The following is a 27009-nucleotide window of genomic DNA, read 5'->3' as shown; positions in this document are numbered from 1 at the left end:
GCTGTAAAGTGTCTCAGGGTTGCTGCCAAAGGAGCCATGAACTGGGCTGGATTTTTATATTTGATGAAAAAGAGCCTAAATGCTATCTGATTTGGGATAAAGAAAAAGAAGCATTAACCTTGACTATGCCTTTAGCTCCAGCCACCGATGGGCAGGTGGGGGAGGGCTAGTCACAGAAAGAAACTGTAAGCCGGACCAGGTGTGAGGAGGGGAGGTGATAAAAGGATTATAGGGTGGAGGAGCGGAGGCTGAGGAAGAATTGGGACCTAGCTCGGCCTGGCGAGGAGCAGCCTGGGGAGGAGGGGAGAGGTCAGATGGGTCTGTAGAAAAGGAAGATTAGAAAGACTCAGCGACGCTTGGGGTTGGGACTGAGGGGACAGGTGGGAGGGAAAGAAGGAAGATTTGGGAACAGTTGCTTTGGGAACAGAGACTAGAGAGGGACCGACGTGTAAAAGAATGCCTGGACGTCAGGCACCTCAGACCATTTGCCCACTTTACAACAAGATTTATTTAGATCTTGTAGGATGGAAAAATTGAAAGTGCCGTTTTCCGGCTGTTTGGAACTACTGTCGAGTTTGTATTGGGGTCAAGCGGTATTGCAGAAGAAAATAAGATGCTTAGATTTTAGGTCAGGTGTGAGTTGAAGAGGTTTTAAGTTTTTGAGGACACAGGCTAAGGGAGAAGAAGGAGGAATGGAGAGTGGAAGGTTGCCCATAGTGAAGGAAGCAAGCCTAGAGAAAAGAGAGAGTAGAGACACAGAGGGAAGGGGTTCGGGGGTTCTTACCTTCCAGAAAAGCAGGAAAGGGGTTGGGGCGTGGAAATAAGGGATTGGGGCACAGAGATAAGAGGTTGGGGCATGGAAATAAGGGATTGGGGTGCAGAGATATGAAGTTGGGGTACTTGCCCCTCTAGAAAAGCGGGACTTGCTGCTAAGAGTGAAGAAGAAGGGGTTACGGGTTTCTTGCCCCCCAGAAAGGTGGAGAAGGGGTAGAGACACAGAGAGAAGGGGTTGGGGTACTTGCCTCTCCCCTAGAAAAGCAGGACTTGCCGCTAAGGGTGAAGGACTAAGGCAGGCGTCCCTGCGTGGTCTGACACCTCTAAAACCTGGGTGAATAATCAGAGAGGCGTCCCTGCAATGATTAAACACCAAGGGAAGGCTGCCTTCCCAGTCCGTGACCGGCGCCGGAGTTTTGGGTCCACGGATAAAACGTGTCTCCTTTGTCTCTACCAGAAAATGAAGGGAATTGAAATTAAAAGAAGGGAGAGATTGAAGTGTGGCACCAAGATTGAAAGGAGAAAGAGGTTGAGGGATAGTGAGGGAGGTTGGAGAAGAGAGTAAGAAGAGGCCGCTTACCAGATTTGAAATTGGTGAGATGTTTCTTGGGCTGGTCGGTCTGAGGACCATAGGTGGATCTTTCTCAAGGAGCAAAGAACAGGAGGACCTCCCAAGGGAGGTCACGATCTGAGTCACGGCACCAAATTTCATGCATGTCTGTGTGAAGAGACCACCAAACAGGCTTTGTGTAAGCAATAAAGCTTTTAATCACCGGGGTGCAGGCAGGCTGAGTCCGAAAAGAGAGTCAGCAAAGGGAGATGGGGTGGGGCCGTTTTATAGGATTTGGGTAGATAAAGGAAAATTACCCTCAAAGGGGGTTGTTTTCTGGTGGGCAGGAGTGGGGATCACAAGGTACTCAGTGGGGGAGCTTTTGAGCCAGGATGAGCCAGGAGAAGGAATTTCACAAGACAATGTCATCAGTTAAGGCAGGAACAGACCATTTTCACTTCTTTTGTGGTGGAATGTCATCAGTTAAGGCAGGAACCGGCCATCTGGATGTGTACGTGCAGGTCACAGGGGATATGATGGCTTAGCTTGGGCTCAGAGGCCTGACAGGAGACATATATGCAGTTATATTTCATTTATGTCAGAAGTTTCACATGCAAATTATGCTAGTAAACACTAAAGCCATCATTTCTAACTCATCCCTCAAAAATATACAAATCTCCAAATGTTCTCCAGTATAACAAAAATTGATAATCAATGATGTATTTCCATGTTTCTGTAAACCTGACTTTTCTATCTTAAAAAAAAAAAAAAAAAAAAGAAAAAGAAAATGTCAGGTCTCTGGGCCCAAGCCTGCACGTATACATCCACATGGCCTGAAGTAACTGAAGAATGACAAAAGAAGTGAAAATGGCCTGTTCCTGCCTTAACTGATGACGTTACCTTATGAAATTCCTTCTCCTGGCTCAAAAGCTCCCCCACTGAGCACCCTGTGACCCCCACCCCTGTCAGCCAGAGAACAACCCCCTTTGACTGTAATTTTCCACTACTTACTCAAATCCTATAAAACGGCCCCACTCCTATGTCCCTTCACTGACTCTCTTTGCGGACTCAGCCCACCTGCCCCCAGGTGAAATAAACAGCCTTGTTGCTCACACAAACCCTGTTTGGTGGTCTCTTCACACGGACGCGAGTGAAAGAAAGAATATCAGACACCTAACTAAGTTTACAACAATTCTAGTTAAGTGTCTTTTACAAATCCTGGTGACTCACTTAATATTCTATCTGTAAAGTGGGTGTGGGAGGGTTATTTCAAAGAACAAATGACAAGAAAATTTTGTAGTTTACACAATAAATGACTAATGTGTGTGTGTGTGTGTGTTTCTTCCCAACATGGATAAAAGAGTATAATATTCAAAAATAAAGGGAAAAACAATATATACAATAAAAGTTACATAGAATTTAAAATACCCCTCACACACACACAATACAAAAGAATATATTGTTCATAGAGATATACGTGTGTATACATATATACATATATGTGAGATATATGTGTGAATGTGAAAGGTGGAAGTAAGTCGCAGAAGACTTCAATTTTTTTTTTTTTTGAGACAGAGTCTCACTCTGTCACCCAGGCTGGAGTGCAATGGTGTGGTCTCAGCTCCCTGCAACCTCCGCCTCCCAGGTTCAAGCGATTCTCCCACCTCAGCCTCCCGAGTAGCTGGGACTACAGGCATGTGCCACCACACCCGGCTAATTTTTGTATTTTTAGTAGAGACAGGGTTCCACTATGTTGGCCAGGCTGGTCTCGAACTCCTGACTTCGTGATCCGCACTCCTTGGCCTCCCAAAGTGCTGGGATTACAGGAATGAGCCACCACACCCAGCCCAGAAGACTTCAATTTTAAGTAGAAGGTGTTCCTTTACAAAAAAAAAAATGGCAGAATGTTAATAGATACTAATACTGGGTGTGAGAACTCAGAAATGTATTATTCTTTGTATGTGTTTGTGTTTTTTAAACTACATTTTTATATACCCAGAAACCCATATACATACATAAAGAATTAGAAAATAGACGTTCTAGTGGTATACAAACTGCAAAAAATGTTACATAAACATTATGTAATAATATTCTAACATATTATAACTTTTAATCTTGAGGTTTAAACTATGTTCAAGCTCTTTATATATTCCCTTATGATAAATAACAAAGAATAACAAACACCCTGAGTCAACAATTGGTAAATGAAAAGTATTTTCTCACAAATCAAAACCACAATGAGATACCGTCTCACAGTCAGAATGACTACTATTAAACAGTCAATAACAACAGATGCTGGGCTGGGTGCGGCAGCTCACACCTGTAATCCCAGCACTTTGGGAGGCCGAGACGGGCAGATCACGAGGTCAGGAGATGGAGACCATCCTGGCTCACACGGTGAAACCCTGTCTCTACTAAAAATACAAAAAAAAAATTAAACAGGCTTGGTGGCGGGCACCTGTAGTCCCAGCTATTCAGGAGGCTGAGGCAGGAGAATGGCATGAACCCGGGAGGCGGAGCTTGCAGTGAGCCAAGATTGTGCCACTGCACTCCAGCCTGGATGACAGAGCGAGACTCCGTCTCAAAAAAAAAAAAAAAAAAAAAAAAAAAAACAGATGCTGGCGAGGCTGTGGGGAAATGGGAATGCTTATATACTCTTGATGCGAATATAAATTAGCTCAGCCACTGTGGAAAGCAGTTTGAAGATTTCTGAAAGAACTCAGAATTAACATTTAATCCAGCAATCCCATTGCTAGGTATATACCCAAAAGAAAACAAATTATTTTACCAAAAAGACACATGAACTTGTGTGTTCGTTGCAGCACTATTCACAATAGCAAAGACATGGAATCAACCTAGGTGCCCATCAACAGGGAATTGAATAAAGAAAATGTAGTACATATATACTATGGAATACTATGCAGCCATAAAAAAGAACAAAATTATGTTCTTTGCATCAACATGGATGCAGCCGGAGGCCATTATCCTAAGTGAATTAACGAAGGAATGAAAAACCAAATACTGTATGTTATCATTTATAAGTGGGAGCTGCACATTGAGTATTTGTGGACATAAAGATGGCAACAAGAGTGGACAACTAGAAGGAGAAGGGAGTAAGGGAGCAAGCGTTGAAAAATGAACTATTAGGTACTATGGGTGATGGGATCAATCCTACCCCAAACCTCAGCATCATGCAATATACTCAGGTAACAAACCTGCATGTGCACCCCCTGAATCTAAAGTAAAAGTTGAAATTATAAAGAAAAGACAAATATTTTAATTACAAAGGGTAACATATGGCCTTTAATTTCATCAAGTCTGAGAGTCTGAACCATGCAAATATTAGTCCAAATTTCTGAGCTTGGGCTCTATTTTTTAGAGCTCACTCTGAGCTCAAATAAGTGAAAACATTTCAAAATTTAAATATAAATAGGATTTTTTTTTCTTTTTGGAGTAGTATGTAATTTGTGGAAGATTTATGGAACACAAGTTAAGTTTTTAAAAAATCAAAACAACTCATAATTCTACTTCCCAAAGATAATCTTTTTCTTCAAATACTTTTTTCTATAAATATGTAGTTGGGATTATTGTTTCATGTATGCATAGGTGTTTTGCTATTACCTCAATTCTGGCTCATGTCATCAAATTTTTTTGAAAGTGTGTTTTTACTATGATGTTGTAGCATTCATTGATACCATTGTTGTCTTACACTCTCTTATGATGAATGGATTATTTTCAGTTTTTTACTATTATGTATAACACTCAGCAACATCATTATTTATAAGTATTTCTATATGCTACTATTTTTTCTTAGATTAAGGTCCTGAGGATATCCAACTTTTGGGTTTTAGAGAGGTAACGTGTTGCCTTTAACCTCTATTAAGTAACATCCTATTTGGAGTCTAGGGAAATGCTTTCCTTAGCAAAATGTATTGATAGTCTCATAAAGTAGAAGCAATACAAACTGTGAGCAGCATCATATGAATTCGAGTCAGTGTTTAGTGGCAAATGAGCTATGAAAAAATCTTTGAACTTTGGAAGTGTGGATGAGGGATTGTGAATCCATACCAATTTATACTCCTTCCCAGACCAGATGAGAATGATGATTCATAGAATTTTCAGCCAGTATTATTTTTAGATTTTACCAATTTAATAAGCTAAAATAGGAATATTTAAACATTTTAACGTTTAACATTCACTTATATTTTTTCATTCAGAAACCCTATTATGCCTTTTTTCTATCACAGTTGAAGCATTTATCTTACTAATTTGTCAGAATTCTTTATATAAATGATAATAATACTGTATAATATGTGTTTTAATACTTTCAAAGTTCATTATTTATATTTAATTTTAATATTTGAAATTTATCTATGTAGCTAAGTATTTAAGTCTCTTATTTTGTAATTTATTCATTTGCTTTTATGTTCGGAAGTTATTTCACCACTTACAGATCAAGTAGTGACTTTCATTTTTACCTATCCCTTTATAACTACAGATTTTATATTTAACTTTGATTCTATTGAGATTTTATTTGGTATATGTTTAATAAAAGGGAGCAATTTATACTTCAGCTTTCCCTATTACAAGTGGAGCTATTTCAGAGGATCTTTGGAATTCAATTTTGGGCTATATTGGTATGTGTGTGAACCACAGCCTTCATCTGCTTTGATTTATTATCAGTTTGATAGAAAAATAATGTTAAATTAAAAATGTGAAAACAGAGATGTACAATATTTACATATGTAAAATCCTTACAATTCATCATTTACATATTTGTGTATCTTATGAACTCAAATTATACTTTATGTTTTATGTTGATTTGATTCAGCTAAGTATGGGTAATAATAAAAATTCCAATTCTGCTCGAAATGTCAAAAATCATTGCTAATCCTCTCCTTCCAACCTCCACCCTCAAGTTGTTCTTATTTTTGTATTTGTTACTATTAATGTTATTTGACTGAGGTTAGTTTCTGTTGTTGCTGTTTTCAGAATCAAGTGCTACTTGCGCTAATATCCCTGAATCACGTATATAAGTGCAAGCAGCATATTTGGAAGGTGATCCCAGGAAAAACTGTAAGGAAAGTGGTGAAATGAGAGAGACAATGGAAGGAAGCTGGTGAACGTTGTATTATGGAACATGTTAATACTGTAGGCAATTGAGGCTCAGTTATACCGGAGAAATCTCACAGAATATAGAACACATCTCATTTATCACAACCAAGGTCTAACTTTGCTCTTCTCTCCATTACCTACACCACATCCTAATTTGGGTTTATAGTACTATTTTCCAAGACAATTGCAGTAACCTTCTTACTGAAAGCTCCTGGTCAAGGGGTCCAGAGTACCTACTTAATATAATTGATGTATAGGTCCCAGTTTAATCTTGTAAATTTGCTACCACCTTGTGCAAAAGAACTTTAACAGATTACCATTCTCTATAAATAAATAGAGCCTAAACCTCGGGAATCATTGGCTTCAAAAAATTGCTTTCATCCCTCCTTTCAGGCTATGTCTTACTGCTTCTCATGACATACGTTGTGGGAAAACTGGGCTCCTTTCTGTTTCTCAACTGTGTCCTATATTTCTACACGTGCATCACGTCATACTTTTTCTTTCTCTGGAATGCTGTTGTTTCTCTCCTAACTTCATTCTATTGAAATCTCACCTGTCCTACATAGTTCAGCTCAAACATTACCTCTTCCACGAATTTTCTGACCACTAAGCTAGAATTAGTATAATATGTTCTTTTGAAGTCTCTTATAACACAAGCCACCTTTCTCTTTGAATTGTATTTGTTTCTATGTCCCCTAGATTGTCTTCTTTGAGGAAAGGGTGTGTTATCTGATGAATTCTCCACTGAATTAAGTAAGTCACTTGCACATAACAGACACATAAGAGATATATAGTAAATTAATTCAATTATTAAGAATCTTACTAATAAAGTGTTATTTTCAAATATGTGAGGAGATGTCAAATAAATGGACTTGAGTTTTTTCTATTGTTCTCCCAGGGGATAATGAAAACAAATTGACAGAAGTTGCATCGGGCATGGAGGTTAAAAAGGAAGCTTTTCCTGCATTTTTTAGGCTGTATATCAGCTGAGTATTTGTTACTTTTCTCTTTACTTCTTTATTTTCTTTACTTATTTTATTCTTTACTTATTTATTCATCTTTTTTTAATTAATTAGTCAATTGACAATATTGACTTATGTTAAGAACGATTCTAGTTGCTAGTTACACAGCGGTGAACAAAATATGTGATTTTTACATTCATGGAGCTTATAAAGTATTCAAGGAGAAAGATAAACACACACACACACACACACACACACACACACACACACACACATGTAGTGGTCAGTGCCATGAAGGCAAATGACAGTATAATGCATAATAGACTATGAGAGGGATTGAGAATAAAGAGAGCCAGAAAAATCTCTTTGAGAAAGTAACAATTACCTTGATACCTGAAGGATAGGGGAAATTTCCAAAAAATGAGAATATAGAAAGGATCTGAGATGGGAAAGATTTGGGCAAGTTTAAAAAAAGGCGAGTTGCCTGGCCGGGCATGGTGGCTCACACCTGTAATTCCAGCACTTTGGGAGGCCCAGACAGGCGTATCACGAGGTCAGGAGTTCGAGACCATCCTGGCTAAAACGATGAAACCCCGTCTCTACTAAAAATACAAAAAAATTAGCCAGGCGTGGTGACGGGTGCCTGTAGTCCCAGCTACTTGGGAGGCTGAGGGAGGAAAACCACTTGAACCCAGGAGGCGGAGTTTGCAGTGACCCGAGATCATGTCACTGCACTCCAGCCTGGGTGACAGAGTGAGACTCCATCTCAAAAAAAAAAAAAAGAGAGTTGTCCAATAGAAATAGAGTAGTAAGTAGGATGAGTTTAACATTGGGTAGATCACACATGATCTTGTAGAAAAATTGAAGATTTCATATTTTAGCTCAAGTGCAGTGAAAAATCATTGAAGAATATTAAGCTGGACAATGACATAATCATATTCATATGTAAATTTTTTTAATTTCGATTGATCATAGCAAATGGTTTCCTCATAAACCAATAATAGTAGTTAATTCAAATATTATTTTTAAAAATTAACCTCTTAAAGGCAAAATAACATATATTCATATCTATTAAAATATAATTATTTAAATTGTTTATTAAATATTATGAAGAAACAATAGAATTATTTTTGATACATTTTCCTAAATTTTAATGTCTTCTTATTTTACTTCTACTATTATATTACTAAGTTTGTGTCCTAGAATATATTTTGTTCTTCAAAGTGGTTTCTTTTATTTTTAATGTTTAATAGATTTATTGAGGTGTAATTTACATACCATAAAGTTCACCCATTTTAAGTGTACAATTAAATATTTTAAAATAAATTTACAGGGTTGTGCAAATATCATCACAAGGGCTTTACATTTTTAACTTTATAAAATTACTGGTAATGTTCTTCCAATCTTTTTTTAATTAATTAATTTGAAATTATTGATGACTTCAATTGACTCTTCTCTATAAACTATATTTTTAAGTAAGAAAGTGATCAGTTAACTGATGCTGAGGTTTTTGATAAGTTCATGACAAATTCTACCAAAGAGAAGATATTTTTAATTCTAACTGCCTTTAATATAAAAGTATGTACATAATACTATCTAATTATTTTCACATAGTGTCTTTTTGTTTTATTCACATTATATTTTGGCAATATCTAACAACTATTATTTAAGACAACATTTTTCAAATAAGTTAACGATTTTGAATGTTTTGCCATATTAATCCTGTAAAACTGTAGGCTTTCTGAATCTTTTCTGTTCTAGTATACTACATTTTTATATTTCATTTTATTTTTAGGTTAGATTCACAACAAAATTGAGAGGAGGATATGAAGATTTCCCAAATACTCCCTGCCCTCACACATGCATAGCCTCCCCATGATCAACATCTCCTACGGAAGTGCCACATTTGTTACAATTGATGGACCTACATTGACACATTGTTATCATCCAAAGTCCATAGTTTACATTTAAGTTCGCTATTGATGCTGTATAGACTATGTTCAGACAAATGTATAATGACACCTGTTCACCATTATAGTATCATAGAGTAATTTCACTGACTTAAAAACCCTGAGTTCCCCCTAACCCTTGGCAAGTACTGGTTGTTGTACTGTTTCCATAGTTTTAATTTTTCCAGAGTTTCACATAGTTGGAATCATACTGTAAGTATCCTTTTCAGATTGGTTTCTTTCAATTAATGACATGCATTTAAGCTTCTATTTTCTGTGACTTTATAACTTTTTTATTTTTGCACCAAATAATATTTCATTGTTTGGATATACCAGAGTTTATTTACCTGTTCACCTACTGAAGAACATCTTGGTTACTTTGGCAATTATAAATAAAACTGCTATCAATATTTGTGTACAGGTTTCTGTGTGGACAATAATATTTCAACTTTTTTGGGTTGATATCAAGAAACACAAAATGTTGAGTCCCATGATAAGGGTATGTTAAGTTCTGTCATAAATTGCCAAATTTTGTCCAAAGCAGCAATACAATTTTGCACTCCTCCTAGCAATGAATGAGTGTTCCTGTTGCTCCACTTCTTTGCCACTATTTAGTATTGTCAGTGTTCTGGGTTTTTGCCATTCTATTGGGTGTGTAGTGGTATCTCATTATTCAAATTTGGATTTCCTTGATGACATAAGACATGGAGTATCTTTCCATATACTTATTTTCTGTCTTTATCACTTCTTTGGTGAGACGCCTGTCAAGGTCTTTGGACATTTTTTAATCACTGTTTTTTTTTTTCTTGTTGCTGAATTTTAAGGTTTTTTAGTTTAGGTTTTTTTTTTTTTTTTTTTTTTTTTTTTTAGATGGATCTTGCTGTATCACCCAGGCTGGAGTGCAATGACATGATCTCAGCTTTCTGCAACTTCCAGCCCCCGGGTTCAAGTGATTCTCCTGCCTCAGCCTCCCGAGTAGCTGGGATTTCAGGCATGCCCCACCACGCCTGGTTAATTTTTGTATTTTTAGTAGAGACAGGGTTTCACCACGTTGGCCAGGCTGGTCTCGAACTCCTGACCTCAGGTGATCCTCCCACCTTGGTCTCCCAAAGTGCTGGGATGATAGGCATGAACCAATGTGCCCGGCCATTAAGGGTTTTTTTTTTTTTTTTTAGCACATTTTGGATAACAATTCTTCACAAGATAAGTCTTTTGAAAGTATTTTCTCCCAATGTGGCTTCTTTTTTTATTATCTTGAAAGTGCCTTTCACAGAGCAGAAAAGTTAAATCTTAATAAAGTTAAGTTTATTAATTCTTTTTCCTCATTAATTGTACTGTTGGTGTTGTATTGAAAAAGTTATCACTAAACTCAAGGTCATTTGGATTTTCTGTTATGTTATCTTCTTAAAGTTTAATAGTTCTGCATTTTACATTTAGGTCTATAATCCGTTTTGAGTTAACTTTTGTGAAGGCTGTAAAGTCTGTGTCTAGATTCGTTATTACCTCTTGCATATGATTGTCCAGTTGTTCTAGCACCATTTGTTGAAAAGAATCTTTTCTCCATTCTACTGCCTTTGCTCCATTGTCAAAGATGAATTGACTATATTTATATAGGTCTATTTCTGGGCTCTCTATTCTGTTCCATGTATTTATTTGTCTATTCTTTTACCAGAACCACACAGTCTTGATTACTGTACCTGTATAGTAAGTATTGATGTTGGTTAGTGGTAGTTCTCCAACTTTGTTCTTCTCCTTTGATATTTTGTTGGCTATCCTGGGTCTTTCGTCTATTTATATAAACTTTTAAATCAGTTTGTCAATATTCACAAAACAAGCTGCTGGAAGTTTTATTGGGATTGCTTTAAGTTTGTGGATCAAAATGGGAAGAACTGACATTTGGCACTATTGATTCTTCTTATCCATGAACATAGACCATCACTCTACCTATTTAGTTCTTCTTTGATTTCTTTCAACAGAGTTTTGTAGTTTTTCTCATATAGATTTTGTACATATTTTGTTAGATTTATACCTAAGTATTTCATTTTAGGGACTGCTAATGTAAATGGCATTTTATTTTTAGTTTCAAGTCCACTTGCTCATTGCTAGTATATAGAAAAGAAACTGACTTTTGAATACTAACTTTGGATCCTGCAAACTACTATAATTATCTATTAGTTCCAGGATATTTTTATTAATAGAGCTTTTTGTTTGTTGTATGGAGAAAAAGTTTCAGGGGACAAGAATACAAGCTGGGAGACTGGTAAGAAGCTATTGCAGTTTACCAAGTGAGAGATATTGGTTGGTTGTTGTGGAGTAGTGGCCTACATTAGAAATAAAGAAATTAGTTTAGTGAGATATTTTTAAAATTTTCAGTGGACAAGGCTGAGGGATTAGCTATTGAGTATGAGGAAAAATAGATCTCAACAATAATTTTAAGGTTTTTTGTTGTTGTTTGAGCAACTAGGTGTATGTTGAGAGATTTAATGATATGGGAAAGACTAAAAAAGAGTAGATGAGATTAAGGGGAGGGGCCCACAATAAAGACACCTTCTCATTTCTCTAGTGTTCCAATACTAATTTGTTTGATTGACCAGTGGTTCTTTCTCTGTCTTTCAAGTTTCTTCAACTTGCCTCTTGGATTTAACACTATTGTTCAGAGTCTATCCCTGATCCCTCATTGAATCCTCATTGTGTTTAGATCCATCTTCATACTCTGCTGCTGGATCACAGTTGCTTGATTTGTTTGCTTGGTCATCTTGACCTAATACCTAGAAGTAAATGAGAATATTCTTCTCCATGGAAATGGAGAAAAACACACCACAATGCAATGGAAAGTAAAACCAAAAGCAACTGTTGTACCCGAGCGAGTTAGAAAAACGCCACACTTTGAGACGAATTAAGAGTCCTTTATTAGCTGGCGACCGAGAGACGGCTAACACTCAAAATTCTCTCGGCCCCTAGAAGAAGGGGCTAGATTTTCTTTTATACTTTGGTTTGGAAAGTGGGGGGGTCTAGTTAAAACAATTTTACAGAAATAAAGTGGCAAAAAGTTAAAAGGATGAATGGTTACAGGAAAGTAAACAGCTCCAGGTGCAGGGGCTTAAAGACTATTACAAGGTGATAGATCCGGGGCTTTGGGCGTCATCAATCAGACAAAATCCTGAGAATTGCGGATATTGCTCGCCACAGTATCTTATCAGTTAATTGCATTCTTGGATGTGCTGGGAGTCAGCTTGCACAAGTTAAGTCCCTGAGGAAGGGGCTGCCAGTGAAAGAGCCAAGATGGAGTCTGTCTGGCTCTCTTAGCTAAGGGAGAGTCAACTCAGGTGGAAACAAGGCTAGGTGATTAAAGGAGAAAGGGAGAGTCTAAAAACAGGGTTAGTAAAAACCAGGTTGGGCATTACCCAACTTCTAAACTCTTGTGCAGTTGAACAATATTGATGTTTTCAACTTTGAGCCCTTGATAAATCTTGCATATTTTCTTTGTCCTCAATAATGTCTTCTTCACAGATCCTGCCTGGAGTTTATGGGGTGTGTTGGCTGTACCTGTGGCTTTTCCGAAGCTAAGGTTTTTCAAAGCGTGAAGTAGCAGTATCTTATTAGTTTTCTAATACATTATATGCAAATAAAATCAAAGAGCTCTGGCCGAAGTGGGAGCAGGGTTTCCAAAAAGCCTCGGAGACTCTAAAGAACATCTAAGGATCCCATATGCAGTTTAACTACAATTTTCGTTAAATCAGCAAGGAAGAGTTTTAAATCTCAATCCTGACATGGTCATTCTTAAAAAAAAAAAAAAGAGCTCTATCTACAAAAACATGATGTGTTTCTAGTTCGGCCACCAATCACTATAACATTGTATGTTAATCACTTTCTAATCTAGGCTTCAGCGTCTTCACCTGAATCAGGAATCTGGACTAGAGGAACTTAAAAGATTCTCTCAGCCTGGAGCATCCAATGAGCTTAAGCATCCAAGATTATCTCTGTATAATTTCCTTGCTCATCATGAGCTCTTCAACTTTCTTTTGGAATAGTAGGTCACTGTGTGGTTGCAGGGAAAAAGGAAGGTAGTAGGAAGTTTGGACAAGTATGATAGTAGGAGACCATGTGATTTGCCTAACCACTACTGGAAAGCTAGTCACTGAGCCTCATTTGCTGATTTAGTCCTAGATTCATTGTGAGATTTGAGATAAAGCATATCCTGAGGTCATAGTCTGTTTCATTATCAGGAAAATCTGAGTTTTAATCTCTAATCATGGAGAAAAAAACAGATTTTGAATAAATACATAATCTGGCCACATCGTTCTATTCTTAAAATGTCACATCAGAGGTCCTCTTACAAGGAATGTCACTGAAAAAGAAGTGAATAAATAAAAATTTTATCTCTGAATTTTAATGTCCTTATCAGAAAGCCTTAGTCAATTACAGCATAATCTTCCAAGAGAAGGGTCATAAGTTTTGCCAGTGAACATGGGGTAGCAAGTGTAATACAAGGGTAAACTCCTATTTTTAACTGTTATTTTCTGTTATCTTGCAATAATAGAGAAGCAGATCCCTGGAGAATTTCAAATTTTGTGTAACAATCTGAGGTCTGGCAGTCTTTCAGATGCAGAGTTCAGTAATTGTTTTCTAGTGAATATATCAGGAATGAAGTAAGGAAAAAATAGAGAAAAAAAGATATTTAATAGCAACTCTTTCATATATCCCAACATTTGGGATTCATACTATTAAGTTTATTTCTCAAAGTGTGGGAAAACTCTGGAGTACAGAGAATGTCTCTAGAAAGATAAATGGATTGCTTTAATAAAAGTTTTCCTACTAGCTAAAGTTTTCAATAATGATGGAAATGTGAGGAGTACATTAGTTTGAAGTGTAGAGTCCTAGGGTATAGGTAAGCAGATTGTCATTGGTTTACTAATGGCAGTCCCAGGGGGCAAGCAAGATTTTGAATTTCTCCAGCTTTGCAACACAACCCAAAGCCTTTATATAGGAAATGCCCAGAAGACCAGACCAGGTGGTGAGACATCAGCTGTATCACTATCATTTTACACATGTGAAAGGGCTTTGAAAATGATCAAGGGCTACAAAAATTAAAGTAACATTACATTTTAAAAATCTGTGATTATTATATATGAAATGATTATTCATTAATCAAAAGAAAGGTCTCTGAACATTTAGAAGACTGGCTTCAATTACTATTATTTTTAATAAGGGTAATTCTTTATCTTTTGAAGTTTACTCGAATTCAGGAAACATCTAAATGTCACCTGGAGTTGATTTTGGAAAATGAATTTAGAAAGACTCTTCTTTGGTAAAAAAGAAAAACAAAATGGAAAATGAATTTAAAAAGACTCTTCTTTGGTAAAAAAGAAAAACAATCAGTTTTGGTTATAAAATAAGAAATTTCTCCACAAGTCCTTCCCAAAGCATTGATATCATCAATGAGATCAGCGTATGTAACACCAAGGTGTCTACTTTGAAGGAAATTAATTATAATTTATTTGATATTTATTTTAACAAATCAACCTATCATTTGCTTTTATGTGATAGAACCTGAGGGCTGGCAGTCTTCCAGGAGTAGAACGTCAAGTTAGTGACTCATGTTTTCTCATGGGTATATTAGGACTGAAGTGTGAACAAAAATGGATATTTTGTTTATACGACTTGCATCATTGAAAGTAAGGAGTCATCTAAAGCTAGTCCTAGTCCTCTGAACCTGAAAAGGTTTTAAGCGTACATAGGTATATTTTTATAGTACCTCAAAAGTAGTGATTGAAAGTTTGAAACTGGTTTAGAGTTAAATAAGTTTATTTTAAAATATAAAGTGTCTCCCTCCTTCAGAAGTAAACTGGCTCAGTTAGTTTACTACTTACATTCCGAATTTCTCCAAGGAACAGAGTGACAAGGGATTCAATCCAACAGGAGAGAGGAGTTAAGATATTGGTTTAACCAATCATTTGTTATTATTTTAGGTGAGCTTCATCATTGCACCTGGGTCTTAGCTTCTCTATTTATAATGTGAAGTGGTAGAATAGAGTAGCTGCAATTCCAGTCATTATTTTCCCTCAGTCCTGGATTATATTCATATTTCGTCTTTCCTATGGATAAAGGCCCAAAGACAGAAGGCAAACACGCATGCTGGACAGACTGAAGTAAGGAGGTTCCCCAGGGAGCTGGGCATATGGATCAACTCCGTATTGCCCAGAATTGTTACTATGCTACGGGCTGGCTCAAAACAATAACAGTAGTCTCTTGCTCTACTTGGTGAGAGCAGCCGAGATTTCTAGGCAAAACCAACAAGCTCTGAGTAAACTAAGACTTTTAATGACCCCAGAGGGAGCTTCGAAATTTGCTTGGGAACCAAAGTTTAACTTTATCCCAGAGACAGATGTAGGAAGAGGGGGAGCAATGCTTTGGGGATCTCTAGGAATGTGACAAAAGTATATATTTTAAATGAAAGAATTAAAGAATATGGAGATCTAGGAGACATCTCAGAGATCTAGTTTCACATTTTCCATTACTGATGGGAGTAAAAGAAGCCCAGAAAGGGACTTGCCTAAGATACCAGACCTAGATAACGGAAGAAACAGACCGGATCCAAGATGTTCTAATTTCCTATCCAGGGTAATTTTATGTGTACATCTCTTTTGAAATATAAATTTATTTTGTTCACTCAACAAAATATTATTTGCTAGAACATAGACACAGTGTTGACATCAAATAGATATCTTTTTTCCAAGAGGTTAAGAGAATGATGATCACTGGTTTATCCCTTCAAATACATTTCCATATGGGCAATCTGCATATGGTCAGGTACTGCTACCGAGAGGTAATTTGGAAATAAACACAGCAGGACTGGACTGGTGTAGGGACAGCCTGGTTGAAGAAACCACAGACAGGCTGGTGAGGTAATCAGGAAGCTGGAATCTATTTTCAGGGTAGCCAAGATGAGTAGTGAAGTCAGACAGAATATAAAATATTCAGGTATGATGAGTGAAGATTTCTCCAGAAGTCACATTGGCAAGTTTTATGAGTTCTGCCAATATTTTCCTCTGAATGCATTCTGTTTTTTTTTTTTTTTTTTTTTTGAGACGGTGTCTTGCTCTGTCACCCAGGCTGGAGTGCAGTGACATGACCTCGGCTCACTGCAACTTCCGCCTCCCAGGTTCAAGTGATTCTCCTGCCTCAGCCTCCTGAATAGCTGGGACTACAGGCACGCGCCACCATGCCTGGCTAATTTTTGCATTTTTAGTAGAGACGGGGTTTCAACATATTGGCCAGGCTGGTCTTAAACTCCTGACCTCGTGATCCACCTGCCTGGACTCCAAAAGTGCTGGGATTACAGGTGTGAGCCACTGCACCCAGCCTGAATGTATTTTTTAAAATTACTATGAGGAACAAAATAATCAATTTAGTGACATATCTATTTGGTATTTTTAGCTTTGATAATTTTATTTTGATCACTAAAACATCAAGCAGTTTTAAATTTCTACAGAGTGAATTCAAAACATTTTTCTTTATTAAGAAAAAAGCAAATCTGTTCTTTTTTGTTTGTTTGTTTGTGTTTTTGAGATGAAGTTTTGCTCTTGTTGCCCAGGCTGGTACCACAACCTCCACCTCCCAGGTTCAAGCAATTCTCCTGCCTCAGCCTCCCGAGTAGCTGGGATTACAGGCATGCGCCACCACGCCTGGCTAATTTTTTTTGTATTTTTAGTAGAGACGGGGTTTCTCCATGTTGGTCAGGCTGGTCTCGAACTCCTGACCTCAGGTGATCCACCCACCTCGGCCTCCCAAAGTGCTGGGATTACAGGCATGAGCCAACGTGCCCGGTCGCAAATCTGTTCTTTTTCCTCTGAACCTTTTTTTGACCATGTATATATGGGAGAAAAAACATATATGTATATATTTATAAAGTTGACTCTTTAATTACCTTTTAATCTATACTTGATAGTAAATCATGAGTTGTTAATCTTAGTGACTACAAATCATAAAATGTGAGCTACTGATGCTTTATATAAAGTAAAAACATTACATATTACATCATCTTATTACCTTCAAAGCAATTACCTTAGATTTGCCACAGATGAGGTTGCTAATCAATGAGATGCTGAGAGTTCTGAGGCCAGAGGTAAGGAAGGATTGTGCATTTCCTTGAGACTTGGAGAGGCCTTGTCCTCCATCTGGCTGGGGTGGGCTGCTAGTACCCATCAGGCACTAAAGAAGAGAACAGAAGAGGGGGCTCAGCAGTCCTGGGGGAAGCACATGTAGATGCTATTCATAGAAGCAGGGATGCAAGATTGGGTGGGAAAACTTGGTGCCAGCATGCAGGATACCACAGGTTACATGACGCATAACGTAGATGTGGGGAAATGGTGATAAGGGTGGGCAGAGCAGCCTAGAATCATTAGAGTGGTGAATACCCAGCAGTAGAATTCAGAGGGTTTTAGTGGCTGAGGCTTTATTGTCCTAGTATTTGGCTCTTTTAGTTTCCCTGTGATCCTACCAGATGATGAGTTTGGAGGCTACCAGAAGTCTGAAGAAATTGACTAGAACAAAGCCTCCTGTTTGCAGGCGCTGAAAGGAATTCCTGTCTGGAGGTCCTCACAAGAGAAGGAAGACATCTCCAGTAAAGTGAGCTCTGGATTCAGATTCAACTCTCTACTGCGTAACTTATTTTTTTTCTGTGGACTTAAAATATTTTTTGAAATCCACAAAAAAATCATAAATTAGGCAGTAAAGACAAATATCTTAACAAATGTCTTCATTCGTAAAGTTTGTATAATATTGTATCCCTTAATTTCTTCCTGTCTCTAAACCCCAGGGCTCAAATAAAATCACAAAAATGTTTCCAGTTTAGAATCCTCAATTAGTATGAGTTGAACCTGAACAAAGATGAAAGTTTAATGCTAGGAGGGAACTTAATGTAAATTTTCTATCAGTCAACTAATATCTTTGTATTCCTTCCTGCGCTTTTTATATTTGGCTTTCCATCTAGATCCCCGACAAAATGTAAAAACTGCAGCAGCCTACGTTTTTCTGAAAATGGGAACAAGACATGATTCACAATTGAAGTGTGCGTCTCCATCCTTTTCCCATGAAGCTGAGGCCAGAGAGATAAGCACATCAATAGCTCTGTTGTAGCCAGAACACGCCTCAGTGCACTGTCAGCTCAGGGGCCCTGTCAGAAGCAGGGCAGGCCAGATCCAAAGGAAGGTCTTAACAACTGGTCAGAACATTTTAGTGGACCAGACTTAGGGGTATATAGGCAGGAAGCAACAGGATGAAATGCAGATGTCCAATAGCAAAGCAGTCAGTATTCGGGTGGCTTTAAAGGGAGACAGGAAGATGCCATACCAGAAAGATGAAGCTCTTACCCAAGGAGTTTGATAGCAAGAGCTAGGTGCTGGTCCAGGCAGGTTAGTGGCATTACTGATATCTAACAGCTATGAAAGGGACTGAGGTTTAGGAACAATTTCAGTTAGAGCCAGAAGGAGTAAGGCAAGGGACTCATTTCAGAGGAAATAGGGTGATAATTATTGAGATTAAGTAGAATGTTGAAGGAAGCCCTCATTTTTCTTAAATATCTCAATGAGGAAATTTCTACAGTAATACTTCATACTTGTCTAGCGTGGCCTGGGAGTAGGCAGGTAAGTTTGATTTGAGGGTGTGGTTGGCTGAAGAAATAAAAAGACCATTTACTAAAGATTAAAACCCATGTTCTTCAAAACTGCTTATTCATCAATAAAGGTAATATTTGGATAATTATCTCAAGTGATTCCAAGTTTGAAGTTGGGAAAAGATAAGTCATTAATGATCAACCCTAATATACCTAAACAGGAAAATACAAGGGTTCAGTTTCTAAACCAGTGTTCCAAGTTAGAGTAGGCCACTAGGAGAACAGTGGTGTCTACTTTGCCATGGGACAAAGCCTCCTGGAACTACAGAATGACCAGAGCCAGACTCAGTTCCTGGAGCTTGCAACAGGGATGCTTCTGAAATGTGATATCAGGGAGCCCTGTGAGGAAGAGTGCAGGGATGGAAATGCGAAGAGGGTCTTGGGACAGGGAGGGCATAAGGGTTATCTCAGGATGACAGATCATCCCATGCATACAGAATATTCTTCTCTTCCAGAATTTCTGATGCATAAGGCTTTTCTTTGCACCCAAGAACAGTGTTCTGGCATCCCTTGTGTAGAAATGAATTAAGACCTATTTACTTCTCTTGTCTTGAGTGTTCCTATACACATTATATCGTCTAACAAGCTGAGTTCAAAGTTGTATTCAGCTTCTGTCCAATACATATGGCTTTACACACACACACACACACACACACACACATACAAACACACTTTGTCTATATATATTTTGCAAAATAATTTTATGAGTCTGGGACTCTAGCTGAATGATGCTTATAAAACAAATTTGGTGATTAAAGCAGAAATGTGGTCTGTATAACTTGAACCAAGGCAGAATTGTGACAGAAGCTATGAAGGTATTTTAGGCCTAGAAGGAAGCACTGAGAAGCAGTGAGAAAAGCACTAAATAAGCTTTAGTCCTGGCTCTGTCAGTTTCAAACTATTGCATTAGGCAAGTCATTTCTATTTTATAAGCCTCAATTATTTCAACGGTAACATTACAGTACAAATGTCTTACTCAAAGGGACCCTTGAGGGTTATATAACTTAATGTTTGTAAAAATAATTGGTAAAATGCTAAACACATAGGATATACCCAATAATCTGGATTTCAATCTGAATTGTGTTTTTAGCCTCAATTATTTGGGGAATACTTAGCACCGTTATTATTTATTTATTTACTTATTTATTTATTTTGAGATGGAGTTTCACTCTTTTCACCCAGGCTGGAGTGCAGTGGCATGATCTCAGCTCACTGCAACCTCTGCCTCCCAGGTTCAAATGATTCTTCTGCCTCAGCGTCCCGAGTAACTGCAATTACAGGCGGGGGCCACCGCGCCTGGCTAAATTTTGTATTTTTAGTAGAGACGGGGTTTCATCATGTTGGCCAGGCTGGTCTCGAACTCCTGACTTCTGGCGATCCACCCGCCTCGGCCTCCCAAAGTGCTGGGATTACAGGTGTGAGCCACTGCGCCCGGCCAGCGTTATTTTTTCACTTCTTTGTAGTTGTTGTTCAACTAAATGTGAGGCTTCCAAGGAATGAAGTTAGAATGTCTCCACAACATGAGTGTGAGGACAGAGTGTTTGCATGTTTTGTTTGATTTGGAATTTTAAAGCTCAACTGAGAATTAAGGTAAGCACAAGGATGGAGCTATTGAAGAAATTGGAAAGGAACAGACAGTCCTGGAATGTGGCAGCTCCTGTTTGATTTTAAATGTAAGTTAAATATTAATTTTTCTAAAAAAAAAACCTCTTTCTCCAGGGAGGGCTTTCTCTCTCACTCTCTTACGTTGACAGATTGTTGGTGGCTTGCCTTTCACACTAACTTATTTGGAGGAAAAAAAGTCTTCAGATGATTTTATTTGCGTAAGAAAAAATTGTCTCCAAAACAACTCCCTTGTCACCAGCATCAACAGCAGCTGAACAACGAGTTGGGTTGTCGCACAGTGAGAATTATTCCTTTCATTTCAAAGGAATCAAAGATGTTTGGGGCAAGCAAGAGCCCTGGTTACACGTGATCATAATAAACTAGTATCAGATTCGCTTTTGGAAAGTGTTAAGTCTACTGCTGAAGTCCGAGTACACTTTTATTGTTCCAAAAATATTTACTAGAATGGAGAAAAGTTGGTTTTTAAAAACTAAGCTGATTTGGAGAAAATAAGAAGCACTTAAAAATCTCTTCTAATTCCTACTTGCTGATGGTTCCCTAAAGAAAGACGGTGCAATTATGCTGTTGACTTGTAAACAGAAGTCAAAAGGAAATTCAAGCTCTGTTAAGACTCAATCCAAATATAATAAAAAGGGCTCTGTCGCCCAGAATCTCCTTTAATGTTTTTGGATGGATTCTCTTGTGCTCTGGCTATTCTTTGATTTTGTAAAGAATAGGAAGAAAAGCAAAATTCCAGTCTCCCAGTTCATACCTATCTTAGTAGAAATGTCAACATTTTATGTTCCAATGTCGTCTTTTCTCAAATATTTTTCTTTCTTACTGTCATGTGCTTTTTTCTTTTGCTTTTTAAAAAAGAATTTACAAAACTACTATCACCCACTGCCCCATGACATCTAGCATATATGTTTTATATTTTGCTATATCAAATTAAGCATTGTACTCCTGCTACTGCCTACCTGTGGGTCTAAGTATCCTCATTTTTAAGTTAAGGGAATTAGATGAGCCTCGCAGTGCTCAAACTATGCTATATCCCTCAGGCTTGGCACCATTGACACATTAGACTGAATAATTATTTCTTGTAGGTAGCTGTCTTGTGTATTGCAGTATGGTCAACACCATCCCTGGTTCTACCCACTAGACACCAACAGTATGAATGCTCCCACCTACCATGCCCCAGATCCGACAACCAAAAATACCTCCAGATAATGTGAAATGTCCTCTGGGGAGTACAATCACTCTCAATTGAGAACCACTGCTCTAACTGAAGCTGTGAATCTTAACCTTTGGTTAGTATCTGCATCACCTGAGAAACTGGTAAAAATATAAAGGCCCAGACTAGATTCTAGTTCAAAAATCCAGGGTCTCCACGATCTTACTAGCTTTTTCACAACACAACGAAGTTTTAGAACCATTGTTCCTAAGAAATCAGATAATAAAGTATGGGCAGCACATCATCAAGGAACAAGTTAGAAATGCAAATTTGAAAGCTCCACCCCAGGTTTAGTGAATCCGGAACTCTGAGATGGAAGTCAGTTAATTATTTAAGGAAAAAGTACATTCTTGGCACACTCTGTGAGAAGTTCAGGAGTATAAGAGACTCGTGGATGACTGTCTGTTCCAACATTGAGTAAGTACCACTGGGACAGCATGACCTGGAATCAGCTTCTTGGCACTGCATGGCTCTTATTACCATAAGGTCATGAACTTTTTGTCCTGATCCAGCCTTAAAAAGCAGATCAGATTGGCTTTCCTGGGAGGGAATATCTGGGGGATTACACAAAACCCTACCTATTCTCCAAACCCTACCTACTCATGAATTCTACACAGCACCTGGAACCCCAACTCATAGACTTATTCTTTGGGCTGTGGCATTAGCTGTAGACCTGTGGTTCTCAACCTTGGCTTCGTATTATAATCACCTGGGAAACTTCTAAAAATCCCATCGCTCAGGTCATATCCCAGACCAATAAATCAGAATCTTTCAGAGCAGAAGCCAGACACTTCTTAGGTGATTCTAATGTTCAAGCAAATTTGAGTTGTCAATGAATAGTTTCTCTCAAGTCAGGCAGAGATTGTACGTAAGGTAGTAATACAAGGCATATTACTTACTTACTACTTGTAGTAAGATATAAGAAATAAGGTAGTAGGACATACAAGAGGCTTGAAAGAACCTGGCCAATTTGGCAATCAGTAGGATGTGGTTGCATTCTATAGGCTATTGACTGTGTGCTAATGCCAATTATTTCCCTAAGTCTTTTTAGATCCTTCTAGCCAGAAGCTATCTTTGTAACCTCTGTGTTCCCAGAGCTCTTTTTTCTTTCTTCTTCTTTTTTTTTTTTCTTTTTGTTTTTTGAGACTGAGTCTCACTCTGTGGCTCAGGCTGGAGTACAATGGCGCGATCTTGGCTGACTGCAACCTCTGCATCCCGGGTTCAAGTGATTCTCCTGCCTCAGCCTCCTGAGTAGCTGGGATTAAATGTGCCTGCCACCACGCCCAGTTGATTTTTGTATTTTCAGTAGAGACGGAATTTCACCATGTTGGCCAAGCTGGTCTCCAACTCCTGAGCTCAGGTGATCCACCTGCCTCGGCCTCCCAAAGTGCTGGGATCACAAGTGTGAGCCACTGCGCCCGGCCAACACTTTCAATCTAATCTAACACGTACCACATTCTACCTTGTATTATAGCTGTATACATTATATATATCAAATTTGTTTCCTATACAGTACTGTGAGCTTCCCAAAGGTAAGAATCCTGACTTATCTTCTCTTTCACCTAGAATATTTACTTTAAGAGTAGGCATCAAAAATTGTTAATTTAATTGAAATATATTAAATGATGTAGAAATGTCACCAAATGTACAAATAGAATGTAGCAAGGTATCCTGGCACTTTGCCCTCAGTCCCACAGCAGGAGTTCCTATCCTGATGTGCTTCAAAACCTTCCACAAGTGGACTGATAACCCTGGACTAGACTCCAAAATCTTTATCTGAAAACAGACAATCTCTAGAGAAAAAGTCTGGGCAGATGACTGATGTGCTAATTCTGGAACACTGACCATCCAAGGCATTCAATATACATTCAGCTCCAAACTGGAGCTTTTTCATCAGTGATATGAGCCGAATTAGTAACGTTTGGTGGGAAAAAAAAAGAGCATGATTCATCAGTGTCTCTTGGAATTACACAGCCAGGGCTGTTCATGGCCTGAGTGGTCAAACCTAACAAAATGAATGAAGGAATCAGCATGAATCTCTGGCAAGCCCCTCAGCGTAGTGGTGATTCCACATAAAAGCCTTCTTCGGAAAAATCATAGCAACTAGATACATGCGTGAGTCTTTTTCCCATTGCCTGTCCCTCTGCTCACCATTGCAGGGGCTGAAAGACTGATGAGATTCTCACAGGCACTAGAAGACCACAGAAATGCCTCCAGGAGGCAGGCTGGGATCCAGGGTCCAACCAATATTCTTGTGAGAGTGTGAAGCCAAGGAACACGAAAGAGGGGAACACCTTGGCTAAGAATGTATTCGTGACAGAGGAGAAGGGGAGGAACAGGAAGCCTCCAGCTAGTCGTTTGGAATCTGGCAACCATTTCTGTCAGCTTTCTCATTCCTAGATTGATGCAGATTGCTTAATTCCTTGAGGTAAGGGATATACTAAATTGCCTCTTTGTTCAACTCTTAGAATAAGAATTTCCCTCTCCTCTCCCGTCCCCTCCCCTCCCCTCCTCTCCTCTCTTTTCTTTTTCTTTGTTTTTTTTGTTTTTGAGACGGAGTCTCACTCTGTCACCCAGGCTGCATGATCTCAGCTCACTGCAACCTTCACCTCCCAGGTTCAAGCAATTATCCTGCCTCAGCCTCCTGAGTAGCTGGGTCTGCAGGCACGTGCCACCACGCCCAGCTAATTTTTGTATTTTTAGTAGAGACGGGGTTTTGCCATGGTGGCCAGGCTGGTCTCGAACTCCTGACCTCAGGTGATCCACCCGCCTTGGCCTCCCAAAGTGCTGGGATTACAGGGGTGAGCCACTGCACCTGGCCCACAGCAAGAATTTTTTTCTGAATAGCATTTTACGTGTTAGGCGTCTGGCTGTTTAGGAGATGAGGAAACTGAGGCCCTCAGTTGCCAAGGTCACACAGCTGGTAAACGGACGGAGCCAGAATGCGAGTACAGCTCCTCCTGCCTCCAAAGGTTCTCTGGGCCCTGTAAAACCACGGGCTGCACAGGAAAGGCAGGCTATATATTGTTCTTCCCCTGGCCCAGCGCCCTGATCCAATGCCCGGACACACATCCACACCAAGTTGGACGAAAAGGTAAGGGAGAAACCTTCCCCAAGAGAAGAAGCGGTAAGCTTTGGTTCTAAAGGCCCTGGGTTGGGTCCGTCCTTTGCCACTTCTCAGCTCTATGCATTTAGGCAAATCACTTATCTTCTTAAACCTCCGCATCTGGGCCTACAGGGCCTCTATGGGTTTTTTTTCTATTTATTTATTTATTTATTCTTTTTTTTTTTAACTTTACGTTCCGGGATACACGTGCAGAATGCGCAGATTTGTTGCGTAGGTACACATGGCATCTACGGTTTGATTCAGTCTGAAATGGCGCTCCAGGCTTCATTTAGAAGGTGAAGCACTCTGCAAACTGCGAGGCCATACAGAGATTCCAGAATATGATTAAGGCCCTAACCTTGCTAAGCTGGATTTTCTTTATTTCCCAAAAAGAAGACTAATACTATCCACTTGTACAACCAGAAGGGAGCTCACGTGTAAAGCGCCTCGTCCCCGGCCGGCCTCAAGCGGCGCTAGCTCTCTGGCTGGCGCTGGAGTGTGCCGCCCCTGGCAGCCCCGCCGCTGCAGCGGGGAGCCTGGGAGAGCGGCTCTCGGAGTCTCAGGCAGCAGGAGGAGCGTGTGAGCTGTGGGCGTCCCTTTAAGAGCGGCTGGCCAGGCACGGCCTCCGCCTCTCAGTACGCGGAGCGCCGGCGGTCACCTGGGGCTCGCGGAGCGGCCAGATCGCGGCGGAGTCGGCGCGCTTCCCCGAGGGAAGGTGGGAGAGGGGACCCGGACGCGAGGTGCCCCGAAGCCCTCTCGAGCGTAACCGTCCCGCGCCTCTCTGAGGCGGAGGATGCGGGAGCGCATCTGGGCGCCGCCGCTGCTGCTGCTGCTGCCGCTGCTACTGCCGCCGCCACTGTGGGGCGGCCCCCCGGACAGCCCACGCCGGGAGCTGGAGCTGGAGCCCGGGCCTCTGCAGCCCTTCGACCTGCTCTACGCCAGCGGCGCGGCCGCCTACTACAGCGGAGACTACGAGCGAGCGGTGCGCGACTTGGAAGCGGCGCTGCGCAGCCACCGGCGCCTGCGGGAAATCCGCACGCGCTGTGCCCGCCACTGCGCGGCGCGCCACCCGCTCCCGCCCCCGCCCCCCGGCGAGGGCCCCGGCGCTGAGCTGCCCCTTTTCCGCTCCTTGTTGGGGCGGGCGCGCTGTTATCGCAGCTGTGAGACCCAGCGCCTCGGGGGCCCCGCATCCCGCCACCGCGTCAGCGAGGATGTGCGCAGCGACTTCCAGCGCAGAGTGCCCTACAACTACCTGCAGCGGGCCTACATCAAGGTACCCACAGAGCGCTCCTCCACTGCAAAGCCCCTGCGGCTCTCACACGCTCTCTTGAGCCCTCCCTGCTGCCCCCGTCATCTCTGTTCAGTCTTTCGAATTGGGTCTCCTTAAATATGTGTCTCAGTTTGTGAATCCAGATATCTGGTGGCCCTATCTCTGTATGCAACAATTGATTAACTTGGACAAGTCTTTTTCTCTCTTTCTCAGAGCCAGCTTCTCTCTCAAAAAGAGGACTGTCCTGATAAGGTGATGTTTAAAGTACCCATTCAGCACTAATTCATGAGGCATTGACAAAGCTGAATCTAGTACAATTTATCTTCTCCCTTCTCACTTCCCATTTCTCTTCTCCCTTCTCACTTCCCATTTCTCTTCTCCCTTCTCACTTCCCATTTCTTTTGTCTCCTCTCTCTTATCCTTCCTATACTGTAGTCTGCACCTTTTCTCTGAAGTTTAAAAGAATCTTCAAAATAGTGAAGTTGAAAGACCTGTTCCAAAACAAATTTCTCTCTCTTCTCCCCTTCACCTACAAAAAAGTAAAGATCAAAGGTTAAAGAGAAGGTATGCTTGGAGGAGGCGAAGCTGTTTGAGGCAGTCTCAGTCAAAGTATCCACCCTAAGTGTTGACTTTTTCTCCTTTGATAGAGGGCTTACGTTTTCTGGTGGTATGCATTGGACTGGGTTACTAGGCATCAGTCCTCTCTTTCTAGTTTTATTTTTGTATGCCTAACTTGCCTAAAGTTAGCGTCAGGAGGTATAGTATGCATATTGA

At 39.8% G+C, this 27009-nt stretch overlaps 1 protein-coding gene and 1 long non-coding RNA gene across 3 annotated transcripts in view, besides 5 other annotated features; one reads left to right on the top strand and one right to left on the bottom strand.

Annotated features, from left to right (window-relative positions):
- Positions 1-1643: 1643 nt before the first annotated feature.
- On the bottom strand, positions 1644-25526 carry P3H2-AS1 (P3H2 antisense RNA 1). Its single transcript, NR_126419.1, has 4 exons — positions 25401-25526; positions 17415-17561; positions 2989-3204; positions 1644-1884 (listed from the first exon to the last, which is right to left on the bottom strand). It is a non-coding gene; the product is annotated as a P3H2 antisense RNA 1 (long non-coding RNA).
- Positions 24212-27009, top strand: part of P3H2 (prolyl 3-hydroxylase 2) — a 165551-nt gene continuing 162753 nt past the window's right edge. Inside the window, exon 1 of one of the 2 annotated variants that reach the window (NM_001134418.2) lies at positions 24212-24287. Coding sequence is in view for 1 of the 2 variants with exons in the window: in NM_018192.4 (NP_060662.2) it covers positions 25759-26238 (480 nt within the window). In the remaining variant the exon portion in view is untranslated. Of the gene's footprint in view, positions 24288-25592; positions 26239-27009 lie in introns of those variants that run through there. The other variant, NM_018192.4, reaches the window with a different exon arrangement.
- Positions 25207-25386: an enhancer, noted in NCBI's record as "active region_20983". NCBI's record gives its function as "activates an Ori minimal core promoter by ATAC-STARR-seq in GM12878 lymphoblastoid cells {active_cell/tissue: GM12878}" and the evidence as "EXISTENCE:reporter gene assay evidence [ECO:0000049][PMID:35858748]".
- Positions 25356-25650: a silencer, noted in NCBI's record as "tiled region #10063; HepG2 Repressive DNase matched - State 4:PromP, and K562 Repressive non-DNase unmatched - State 24:Quies". NCBI's record gives its function as "represses a minimal TATA promoter and a strong SV40 promoter by Sharpr-MPRA in HepG2 and K562 cells {active_cell/tissue: HepG2 | K562}" and the evidence as "EXISTENCE:reporter gene assay evidence [ECO:0000049][PMID:27701403]".
- Positions 25356-25826: a biological region, named in NCBI's record as "Sharpr-MPRA regulatory region 10063".
- Positions 25597-25826: a silencer, noted in NCBI's record as "silent region_15000". NCBI's record gives its function as "represses an Ori minimal core promoter by ATAC-STARR-seq in GM12878 lymphoblastoid cells {active_cell/tissue: GM12878}" and the evidence as "EXISTENCE:reporter gene assay evidence [ECO:0000049][PMID:35858748]".
- Positions 26037-26116: a silencer, noted in NCBI's record as "silent region_14999". NCBI's record gives its function as "represses an Ori minimal core promoter by ATAC-STARR-seq in GM12878 lymphoblastoid cells {active_cell/tissue: GM12878}" and the evidence as "EXISTENCE:reporter gene assay evidence [ECO:0000049][PMID:35858748]".

The sequence above is a fragment of the Homo sapiens genome, chromosome 3 (assembly GCF_000001405.40).
Source record: "Homo sapiens chromosome 3, GRCh38.p14 Primary Assembly".
Taxonomy (NCBI): Eukaryota; Metazoa; Chordata; class Mammalia; order Primates; family Hominidae; genus Homo; species Homo sapiens.
Note: the sequence above shows the minus strand (reverse complement) of the source record. Positions and strands in the feature narration are given on the sequence as shown.